The sequence below is a fragment of the Homo sapiens genome, chromosome 18 (assembly GCF_000001405.40).
Source record: "Homo sapiens chromosome 18, GRCh38.p14 Primary Assembly".
Classification (NCBI taxonomy): Eukaryota; Metazoa; Chordata; class Mammalia; order Primates; family Hominidae; genus Homo; species Homo sapiens.
This window is the reverse complement of record NC_000018.10, coordinates 35,665,604-35,677,905: the sequence shown is the minus strand read 5'-3', so window position 1 is coordinate 35,677,905 and position 12,302 is coordinate 35,665,604. Positions and strand designations below refer to the sequence as shown.

The 12,302-nt window shown below is 37.6% G+C and overlaps 1 protein-coding gene and 1 long non-coding RNA gene across 14 annotated transcripts in view, besides 1 other annotated feature; one reads left to right on the top strand and one right to left on the bottom strand.

The window, feature by feature from the left end:
* GALNT1 (polypeptide N-acetylgalactosaminyltransferase 1) overlaps positions 1 to 12,302 on the bottom strand; it is a 130,913-nt gene that overhangs the window by 33,929 nt on the left and 84,682 nt on the right. For all 13 annotated transcript variants that reach the window (XM_047437466.1, NM_001384441.1, NM_001384439.1 and 10 more), the window contains one exon: positions 149 to 315. In XM_047437466.1, the coding sequence (XP_047293422.1) occupies positions 149 to 315 (167 nt within the window). The remainder of the gene's footprint in view (positions 1 to 148; positions 316 to 12,302) is intronic.
* Positions 776 to 11,283, top strand: LOC105372065 (uncharacterized). Its single transcript, XR_935378.4, has 2 exons — positions 776 to 1,478; positions 10,969 to 11,283. It is a non-coding gene; the product is annotated as an uncharacterized LOC105372065 (long non-coding RNA).
* Positions 6,570 to 6,742: a silencer, noted in NCBI's record as "fragment chr18:33251128-33251300 (GRCh37/hg19 assembly coordinates)". NCBI's record gives its function as "represses an EF-1alpha promoter that drives an FKBP-Casp9 reporter gene in an ReSE screen in HepG2 liver carcinoma cells {active_cell/tissue: HepG2}" and the evidence as "EXISTENCE:reporter gene assay evidence [ECO:0000049][PMID:32094911]".

Here is a 12,302-nt window from a genome sequence, read left to right as displayed (position 1 = left end):
TTACATATGTGAATGAATCCAAATGCCATATTTTTGGGATAAATTAGAATTTTGTATAAAATTATTAGGTTAAAAATTATAGCAACTAGTTTTAACCGTTAGTGACAAAAGGTGTAGCAAATTATTGGCATTAAAATTTAAAATTTACCTCTTTCACTGGCATCATCTACTAGAACAATTTCTTCTATCATGTGTCTTGGTGAGCGATTAATGACACTATGGACAGTTCGCAGAAGTGTGCTCCAAGCCTCATTGTGGAAAACAATCACCACACTTGTTGTAGGAAGATTATCTGGATACACCTTTGTTTTACACCTAGAGACAAAGCAAATGCCTTTATAAAAAGTGACTGTTAAGATTGCATAATAAAGGAATCTGGACTAGAAGGGTGATAGAACAATAAAAGCAGTTTGCTCTAGTGGTGGGATCCTTGGTACCTTTTCATTTAAGTCTTGGTTAATGTTATGTGTTTAATAAATAGCACCTATTTAAAGTGATATATTTAGATTAAAATTATTTCAAAGATGTCATTTATATTCTTAAAATTAGGTACTTCCTCCTGATGAATGTTTTCAGGTGATTCATTTTAATGGAGAATGAAATAAAGCTATATTATCTGCCCAAAACTGAATGTATTTCAAAGACCCTATTAGACAAAGAATTAGAACCACTGGAGTTTACGTAGTTTAATAATCTAAACAAAAATATACCTTCCACAAAAGAAGAGAAATATTTAGTGAGTACCTATCGTGTACCAGGCTCTTACTCTTCCTAGTCATTCTATAAGACGGATGCTTGGAGCCACATTTCACAGATGAGAAACAGGGCAGGGATAGCGAGGAGGCAACAGAACCTGACTGAAGACTCCACAGCCCATGCCCTGCTGTTCCAACTCTTGATGGGGCCACCGCCATAATTAAATATCAACATGTATCTCGTTCACTAAAGACTATTTATGCCTGAGCATGCAATAATCAGAAATACCAAACACACTCAAAAGATATGCACACAAAATCCACATAATAATTGTATGTTTCCAGCACTTTGTTAGGCAACATGGTCTCTTCTTTCAACCTTGTTAGCTAGATGAAATTACTAGATAACAGCCTATCAGAGAACAGTAACAGCGGCAGGTAACCTGAGATCAAGGGATGTGCTTTAGAACATAAGCCCCCCTAAACAGTGCATATATAATTATCTCCCAGGTATCCCCGATTCTAACAGTTGCTCCACCCTCCTCTTTCTTCCTTTATTCCCTGCTCTCTCTCAAGCTCCTCAAACTTTCCACTCCCCAGTCTCAACTGTAATCGCCTGTCAGTGGGAGTGGGAAAAGGGAAGGATGGGGAGGAAATGAAGAAAACACAAGCAAGACTCCTCTTCTGAAGCTGTTGAAGTAACTTCTTATCGAACACTCTACCCTAGGGCTGCCAGTTGGCAGTTGGAAGAAAAGGAAAAGCGAAGGGTAAAAAGATGACAAGGTAAAAGGGTTGAAAGAAGTCATCGTAGGGGCCCCATCAGCCCTTGTCCTTTCTTTCTGCCAGGAGACAAGGAGAAACAAGTAGCTGTCCCTGTCCTTCGATATATTCCACTGCAGCCCCTCTCTCCCTCTTCACCATTCCCAAGACCCCTTTCACAGGATGGTCTCCGTCTCCTACTAACAGTAACCTTCCCTCTACCCACTGATCCAGAAAATCCACAGCCTCATTTCCACTTCACTGCTTGCTCCCTATGTTCACTCTAACCACCACAAGAAGGCCCACACAGCCTGCCACCCTGTCTGCAGCTCCCTCCTCCTAAGTCTAGGCTAAAGAGGTGTGGCCCAAAAGACTAGGCTAGAGGGGGAAAAGATGTGTCCTCAGCAGTCCTAATAATACTTCTGAAAATAGTTTCCCATCAAAACTCTGTTATAAATGGTGGCTAGAATATTTATGTATATAATTAGTACTAGTTTCAGGTACATCATAGCTGAGCAAGCTGTATCTGGAATGCCTGATGCACAGACTCCTGGAATAAGACTCTGAAGTCAGGAATGGCCTATGTATGGGTAAAAGGGGGTCAGAAAAAGAGTTTCTTCCATTACTTAGCTGAATCTTATTATGCCACACATACAATCTCTTTTCCCAAGTGAATCCTACTTATTATTATTGTAGAATTGGGAAGCAGGAAACAGCCAAGGTGGCTATATAGCTGCTACCTTACCAAAATAAAATAAAATAATAAAATCAAGTGATGCATGAAAGATGTACAGATACAAATGGTACTGTTAGCCATGTCTATGGCTAGGAAACAGAAAGGAAGACAGAAAAATGTGGAGACAGCAGGTTCTGCAGAAGAGAAGTGATAACCCAAATTTACTACTTGTATAATATGTTAAAGAATAAAATTCTAAAACTGTATGGAAAGGAAGTAAGATTGTAAGATTATAAGAACAATAGAAAGAAACTGGATGGAAGAATCAGAGAGAGAAGCAATATTAGGATCCAGAAGAACAGATGATAAAAAGGAAATAATTTTTTAAATCAAATGGTTAATCAGAGACCATAACAAATTCATAAATTAATATTCTCTCAAAGCAAATGAGGAAACATAGAGAAAATATTAAACAACCATAATTAACCTCAGAACAGGTACAAACACACACAAACACACACCCCTAACCTGGAAGAGCCACAAGGCACTTGAGAAGAACCAAAGAGCCCTTTAGCATTCTAGCTAAGCTTTTCCAATCAAGAAACCACCTGTCCTTTTGTGTTTTGGGGTTTGAAGTGGGTAGGGGGATGGGTTCATAGAACACAGAGCTGAGGATGAGCAGAAAGGCCACAGGCCATGTTCAGGAAGCAGCTTTCTTCCACACTTGCCCAAGTGAGACTTTTATCCTCAGTTATGAAAACGAGCTTTTTTTTTTTTTTTTTTTTTTTTTTTTGAGACGGAGTCTCGCTCTGTCGCTCAGGCTGGAGTGCAGTGGCGTGATCTCAGCTCACTGCAAGCTCCACCTCCCGGGTTCACGCCATTCTCCTGCCTCAGCCTCCCCAGTAGCTGGTCCTACAGGTGCCTGCCACCACGCCCGACTAATTTTTTGTATTTTTACTAGAGACGGGGTTTCACCGTGTTAGCCAGGACGGTCTCAATCTTCTGACCTCGTGATCTGCCCACCTCGGCCTCCCAAAATGCTGGGATTACAGGCGTGAGCCACTGCACTCCGCCAGTTTATGCTAATTTCTAAAAGTTACATACAGGTTTAACAGCAAGGTATAGGTTAGGAAGAAAGGGAAGAGTCTTAACTTTCTATTGAAATATATACATACAAACTGGCCCCTATAAGCTTTTCTCCTTTGCAGTATGCATGAGGCATGCCTAAGCTCTGTAGGTAGAAGGTGCTGCAGGGACAATGCAGGAGGAAGAAACTTCCCTCCCCGGTTCCAGTGTGCTTCCATTTGTTTTCCTCTCCCTCATACTGTGCGGTTGCCAGTGGAATGTGGTGGATACCCAGGGCATTCACCCCGCTGAGCTTCAATAGCACCCCCACAACAACAGACCACATATATGACAGTAGTCCCATATCATTATAATGGAACTGAAAAATACCTATGGCCTAGTGTCACTGTAGCCACCATCAACATACTAGCGTAATTACTTAATCTGCAAAATACATTTAGAAGAGCCTAAGTGTACAGTGTTGATAAAGTCTACAGTAGTGTATACAGTAATGTCTTAGGCCTTCACATTCACTCAGCACTCACTTACTCACCCAGAGCAAGTTCCACTTCTGCAAGCTCCATTCATGGTAAGTGCCCTATACAGGTGTACAATTTTTCATCTTTTATACCATATTTATACTGTATCTTTTCTATGTTTAGATACACAAACACTATTGTACTACAATTGCCTACAGTATTCAGTAGAGAAATATACTATGCAGGTTAATAGACTGGGAGTAATAGGCTATACCATATAGCCTAGGTGTGTAGTAGGCTGTACCATCTAGGTTTGTGTAAGTGCACTCTATAATGTTTACACAATGACAAAATTGTCTAATGACCTATTTCTCAGAACATACCTCAGTCATTAAATAACACATGACTGTACCTAACAATTCAGAAATACAGAACTACAGAAGTCGCTTGGTATTTACTATTACTAATATTTTTCAATTGTTATAGTCCTACTCTGGCTGGATGCAGGGGCTCATGTCTGCAATCCAGCACTTTGCAAGGCTGTGGCAAGAGGATCACTTGAGCCCAAGAGTTTGAGACCAGCCTGGGCAACAAAGTGAGACTCCATCTCTAAAAAAGTCCTACTCTATTTATCCTATCCCAGGGCACTGGCCTGAAAGGGTCCTCCTGACTTTTTATTAAATTCCTGAAACTGCATTAAGAGGTTTAAATATGTTATCCCATGTATGCTTATAACAACCCTAAGACAGAGGAATTACTCTCCAAATTTTACAGATGAGGAAACTGAGGCTTAAATAAAGTAGATTGCTCATGATAGCAGCTAGTAAGTAACAGAACTACAAGTTAAATCTGCAAATTATGATAAAACTTATACTGCTCATCAATCATCCATATATATGTCAAGAACTATAGTATGAAAGAAGAGCCAAGAAAAGAATTTTCAAGAAATTTCCACATCAAGGTGACTATGCATGTATAATCCAATGCTCTCCTCCATGTCCCTTCAAGCTATGATTTTCAATGTATTCTTTTTCTCCCATTAAATTTCATCTGTCACTAGCATTTATCAATGACAACTCAATATCTCATAAGATGTCTGGCTACCTGCCAGGCAGTGTTTGGCAATGTTACAAAATTTCTCCTCTGTACACTCTCATTCAGAGAAGATCAACTAAGATCTAACCATAAAACTAAGGGCAAAGCATAGTGATTCAGAGCACATATTTTGTCCCTGAGACCTAGGTTCAAATTTCACTTGCGTCACTTACTAACTATACTTTGGACAAATCATTTAATTTCCCTAAGTCCAAGTTTCCCCATTTGTAAACTGAGCACATTACTACTACTTTGCCCAACTGTTTGAATATGACAATGTGTATAACACTGGTATATAATAAAGCATTCAATAAATGCTATTAAAATTACTTTTTAAATATCTAAGACTAACTATATAGGATGGATTTGGCTTACTAGATGATTTGGAATCTGTCTTACACTTCCTTCCCTAAGATCACACATTAGAAAAGTTATTCAGGGACTGTTACTTCTATTTAACTCTTCTGAACAGTGTAATAATGTCATTCTTCCCTCCAGTTTCCTTCAGGAAACATGCTCTTAGAGACTGTACAAGGCAGTAGAAGTTATTGGCAGACAGGAAGATCTGGGCACAGCCAGCTACACACCAGTTAAGCCCATGTCTTAGAACATAAGCAAGGTTTCTCTGGGTTCCAAAAGGTGGTGAAAAAGCTGCACTCCAAGGGCCATCCCACACCATTCTTCCTTCCACCTCGGGGAGCAGGAATGGAAAGCAGCTAACTACCTCTGTCCAGCATAGCTGAGGCTGAAGAAAATACCATCTAATATTTACCACTTGGCATTTCATTGTGAATCTGCTTTGGAAGTCAGGAAATGAGTAGAAAAATAAAGAAAAAAAAGTAGAGATGGAAAAGTCCCTTTGGAGTCAGCTTCTCCTGAGAATCAAACAGGGACCTGGAGCTCACTCCTTGAACAGAGGCCTTCTCTGTATCCTAGATTCCAGGAAGTGTGCAAAGCACTTTACAAATCCTCACAACCACCCTTGTAATTCTCTTTATCTTAGAGATAAGGACCTGAGGTATAGAAAAGTCAGACAACTTGTCCTAAACCACATAGCCAGTAAATGGCAGAGCCAGACTTGGACTTTGCCACTATCAAGATATTAATGAGAAATTTACCTAGAGACAATTTGAAAAGGAACAAACAGAGAAAAAATAAGAGTATAGATTGAGAAGCTCTAGTATATGCATATAAGTAGCTCCAAAAGAACAGATTGGAGGAAATAGTGAAGCAGCAGTATTTGAGATTACAGCTAGGAATGTCCCACAATTGAAGAATAATATCAGTGCTCACATCAAAAGTATACTATGTGCACTGAACATGTAGATACATAAAGATAAATCTACACCTTGACAATTACAATATACCTAGGTCTTACTAATAAAGGAAAAGTGTACGGCTTCCAAACCAAGAGACAGAAAAACATGAATACTAAAACTTTACCAGTTGAAACTGTATCAATTAGAAAAGCAGGAAAGGAGGAAAAAAATGAAAAAGATACTAAACAGAAAGCAAGATTTATTAAGTCAAACTTTATGAAATTGTCATTTTCGTAGGTCAAAAGTGGTTGAATATCAATTTCATATGGTTCAACCTAAAAGAAGTTCAAATATATCAAGTCATAATACATGTAGATCAAGTCATAATATACACAAAAGTCATCTATTAAAAACCAAAGATTAAATTTAAAATACAAAGTCCCAGCCTGGGCAACGTGGCGTGAGACCCCCATCTCTACAAAACGTTTAAAAAATTAGCCGAGTGTAGTGGTGTGTACCTGTAGTCCTTGTTACTCGGGAGGCTGAGGTCGGATGATTGTTTGAGCCCAGGAGGTTGAGGCTGCAGTCAGCTGTGACTGTGCCACTGCACTCCAGTCTGGGCAACAGAGCAAGACCCTGTCTCTCAAAAATATATATGTGTGTATATACAGAGTGAGAGTCCCTTCAATGGTAGGCTGCCTATGAACATGAGCACGAGAGAAGCAAAAAATTAAATAAATAAATGGTAGGCTGTCATTTAAAAGAAAAAAAAAGTCCAGCCATCTAGTACAAATACACCTAAAACAAAGTCCTTTCCTACCCCAAGATCATAAAGATATTTTCTCCTATGTGATCTTTTAGGGCTTTGCTGGTTTGCCTTCACATTTATTTCAGGTAATACATATAAAATTGATTTTTCTGTATGATGTGAGGTAAAGATGCAGTTTCAGTTTTGTCTTGAATTATATCAAGTTGACCCAGCGTCATTCATTTGTTCATTTTTTAGAAGATCATCCTTCTCCTACTGCCACATAGTGCCACCGTTGTCCTAAACCAAGTGTTCAAGTATGTACAGAACTGGTCATGAACTCGCTATTGTGTTCCACTGATCTGCTTGTCTATCCTTGCAACGATACCACATTATCTTAATTATTACAGTTTTCTAAGAAATCTTAATAATTCTATAAGAATGTCTAGCTCTTCCAGGTCTTTGCATTTCCAGTCACATTTGAGAATCAACTTGTCAAATTACACATGTATACGTGGTTATGATTGGCACTGCATCAAACCTACTAATGAATGTAGAAAGAACCAACATCTTTATAATATTAAGGAGTCTGACCCCATGAATGTGGGATAGTTCTCCATTTATTTAGGTATTTAATTTTTCTTTGCTTTAGAATTTACTCTGAAGAGCCTTTCTTGGATATTTGATATTTTCAGACTACATTATAAGTAATATTTAAAATTGTTTTATTTTCTAGCTTTTGTAAGAAAACAACATATAGAAATGTAACGTATTTTTCTTTTTAATATAGACCTTAAAACCTTCAACCTTACTGAATATTTTTTTTCTTTTTTTTTGAGGCAGAGTCTCACACTGTCACCGAGGCTGGAGTGCAGTGTGGTGTAATCATGGCTCACTGCAATCTCGAACTCCTGAGCTCAAGTTATCCTTCTGCCTCAGCCTCCTGAGCAGCTGGGACTATAGGCATGCACCACTGTGTCCAGCTAGTTATTTAATTTTTTTGTAGAGATGGGGTCTCATCAATGTTGCTCAGGCTGGTCTTGAATTCCTGGACTCAAGCAATCTTCCTGCTTCAGGTGCCCAAAGTGCTAGGGTTACAGGTGTGAGTCACCGTGACCGGTCTCTAAACACTTTTTTATTCTAATCCTCTAATTCTTTTGGATTTTTGTTATACACAATCATGTCAACTGCAAATAATAAAATTTTAATGAACTTCTTAAAGTAATAAATTTTAATAAATTTTAATTCCTCTCTTCCAGTCCTCATAACAGTGAGTTCTTTTGCTTGCCTCCTTACACTGGCTAAGACCTCCAGTAAGACACTGAACAGAAGTGGTGTTAACAGGCATCTGTGTCATGTTCCAGATCTCAAAGGGAAAGCTTACAACATTATTATTAAATATAGATATTTGCTGGGAGGGTTTTGTTTTTCTAGAAATCTTTTGTCAGATTAAAGAAGTTCCCTTCTATTCTAGTTTGCTAAGGGGTTTTATCATGACAGTGACAAATTTTATCAAATGTTTTTCCTGTATCTAATGAAATGATCACATAACTTATCGCCTGTTTTCCTATAAATGTGGTGAATCTAAATGATCTTCAAATCCTAAACCAACTTCACATGTCTGGAATAAACCAATTTATTTTTAATGTATCATTTATTCTATATATTGCTGGATTTCACTTATAAATCTGCATCTGTATCGAGACTACTGGTCTGTAATATTTCTTTGTTGTAATAACCTTGTCAGATTTTCATATCAAGATCATGCTGATTTCATGAAATAAGTTTGATATGTTGCTTCATTTTCATTGGCAAAGCCATCTATGCCTGGAAGTCTGTGTTTATGTCTAACTGTGTGAATGTCTGTGTGTAAAGATTTTTTTTTTTCTTCGAGATGGTCTCTCTCTGTTGCTCAGGCTGGAGTGCAGTGGTGTGATCTGGGCTCACTACAAGCTCCGCCTCCCCGGCTCATGCCATTCTTCTGCCTCAGCCTCCTGAGTAGCTGGGACTACAGGTGCGTGCCACCACGCCTGGCTAATTTTTTGTAGTTTTAGTAGAGACAGGGTTTCACCATGTTAGCTAGGATGGTCTTGATCTCCTGACCTCATGATCCGCCCACCTCGGCCTCCCATAGTGCTGGGATTACAGGCGTGAGTCAGTGCGCCCGGCTGTGTGTAATGCTTTTAAATAATTAATTCTACTTAATAGCTATAGAACTTATACTTTCTTTTCTCTGATGTCAATTTTACTAAGTTATATTTTTCTAGGAACTACTAATTTCATCTAAATTTTAAAAAATTGGGATTTTATAATATTCACTTATAATCTTATCTTTACGTCATTGTGGTAAGAACACTTACCATGAGATCTACCTTTTTAATAGGTTTTTAAGGGTACAATGCAGCATTGTTATCTACAGGCACAATACTGTATAGCAGGTATCTAGTCCTTATTCATCTTGCATAACTGAAACTTTATGCCCACTAATCAGCATCTCCTCATTTCTCCCCTGCCACCGGACCCTGGCAACTACTATTCTACACCCTGCCTCTACGAGTTTGACTATTTTAAAAAACCTCATATAATCTACATATAATCTTTCAAACGTCTGCAAGATGTGTAGGGATGCTGTCTTTTTCATACCATTATCTGCTATTTAGGAGAGCGTTTTTTGATTTTGTTGATTTTTTTCCAAAGAACTTTCAGCTTTGTTGAGCCTCTATACTCGATGTTTGTATTCTACTTTATAATTTCTCATCTTTGTGATATATTATCTTTTAAGGTCTGGATCTGTAATGACGCCACCTTTTATGGATTTGTGACTCTCTTATTTTCTTGATTAGTCAATTTTATCATTTTTTAATCATTTTTTCCCATGAACTTTTGACTTTGCTGTTCCTCTACTGTACGTTTTTATTTCCTAAGTTTCCAAGTTTTAAGTTTCCACTCTTCCTTCTACTTATTCTCTTTAATGTGTTCCTTTTCTAATTTCTTAAGATGGTTAGTTCAGTAACTTTCCATCTTCTTTTTAAAAAAGTCATATGCATTTAAAGGTATATATTATCACCTAAGCATGGAATTAGCTACATTTCACAAGTTTTGATATGCAGCATTCACATCATCAACTTTGATAACATATTTTCTTCCTTAGTGCACTTAATGCCTAGCTAACAGGAGCTACAAAAAGGGAAAGTAGACAAATGAAACATGTAATGAACCTGTCCATAATAACAATGCATATTATGGGCCAGATCTCACACCTTTAATACCACAACCACACAATTTACTTGACTTTAAGGATATTGGTACGATATGCCTTTAGGTCTAACTACCAATTCACAGGACAGGGAACTGAAGAACATGTTCAAATGACACCACAGTGATGCAGTCAGCAAAATGTAGGCTGAGAAAAGATGTAAGGCATTCTACCTGGATTCTTCAAATAATAAACTGTAAGGAAAAAAAACAGAGAAGGAACCTACAGACTAAAAGAGACTTAAGAGAATATCCACCAGCTGCAATTTTGATCCTGACACCTACGCTATAAAAAAAGAAATATATATGTCATAACTAGGGAAGTTGGAATATTAACTGGGTATTTTATGATATGAAAGTATCATTGTTTATGTTATTTTTAGGGGTGAAAATGGTATAATCATTTTTATTTTTCTTTTCTATGAGTCCTTATCTTTCAGAGCTACATATTGAAATATTTAGAAATGTTTTGTCTTTGCTTGGGGCTGGAGAATATGCTTCTAATCTTACTTCTTTGGTTGTTCACAAAAAGCCATAAACCACACGGGTGTCGACATAGGGCTGCACCTATTGTGTCCAGGGGCTTATCCCAGAGCAAATGATCACAGCAAGAGTAAAAGACCAACATGAAAGCCACAGCATATTTGATAACATAATATTGAAGGAGATACTCCATTTTACTTGCACCATGTTCTATTGCTCACACAGACCAATCTTAGTGCAAGATGGAGACTACAAAGAGGTGTCAATACCAGGAGGCAAAGATTGTTGACGGACATCTCAGAGGGTATAAGAATTCGTAAGACAAAACTGTTAGGAATTGTTGAAGCTGGGTGGTAAATACAAGAGGGTTCATTACATTATTATCTCTATTTTTGTATACATTTGAAATTTTCCATAATAAAAAGTCTTCTAAAACTTTTTTTTTTTAAAAAAGGTTATCAGTCCAGAGATAGAGTGAAGATATAAAAAGGCTACTCAGTGGTAGTAGTGACTCTGCGCTACCTCCTAGGCAGCCCAGTCCCACAGAGACCCAGCAGTTGGCCAGAAGGACTGTGTATTGGCAGCTTTCACAAAAGTGGACTTCGTCAAGTCTGAAGAGTCTTCAAGTGTGAAACTTGGTGCACAAGCATTTGTATCACACCATTTCAACACTATTCCTAATATCATAAAGCTGTTCAATGTCCAAAAACTGGTGACTTACAATGCACTTAAAAGGCACTCATTAATAAAAGTATCTTCAAAAACCACATAAAGACAAAAAGACATAAATATTTAATAAAATGTGTTAAGAGTGGTGATATACTTAGGGGGGTTATTAAAATGACAAAAACAATTCTACCAGAAACAATAATAGTTGATTGAGGCTCTTGAAGTAAATGTAAGGTTGTTTATAATACAGGCATCATTTTAACTGTAGACTGTGGAGAGTCTATAGTTTTCTTCAACAATGTTTAAATTTTCAGGAAAGCAAATGGTTTGTGAAAAATCTTTACAAATTAAGCTTCTCTTGACTGATCTCCACTTAATCAACTTGCCAGATAAAGAGATACTCTTCATCTCCTTGGTTTAATTTTTACATGCACAATATTCAACAGTTACCTTATTATGACTTATTCATGGCTAAGCCATGTAGTAGTAAACTATGATTACTTTTGTTTTCTCTGAACAATTTTTTTAAAGTTTTCCCTGAAGGTAATGCTCATTTAATTTTTTTCTTACTATGGTTTTCTATGTATTTCAATCCCAAACTTCCTATCAATTGTCTAAATCTACTCTAGACATTCAGCCATATCAGGTGTAACTTCAATGGTATCTTTTTGAAGTCTCTTCTGGAATTTTCTCACTGGCTCCATCTGGGCTGGTCGCCTCTGCCTGTGCAACTCTCACTCAGGCTCTCCCTTCATCACCTTCTGGTCATTCTCACCATTTCTTACACAAGCTGAATCTCCTGTTTTTTACATTCTATGTCTCTCTTGTCCTTGGTTTATTTAAAACCAAGGTTTTAAATGGTAGCGTCCTATCTCTAGTAACTTCCTGAGAATGGATGCTTGGGAGTTCAATGTTTTGAGATCTTGCATGTCCAAAAATATCCTTATTTAACCTGTGCACTTTATTGCAAGTTTGGCTGAATATAAGATTTTAGATTGGAAATTATTTTCCTTTAGAATTTTGCTCCTTTGTTTCTAGAGTTGCTGAGAAGTCTGAAGGCATTCTGATTAATAACCTTTTGATTGTGACCTTCTTTCGCCTCTTAAGAAACCTGTAAAA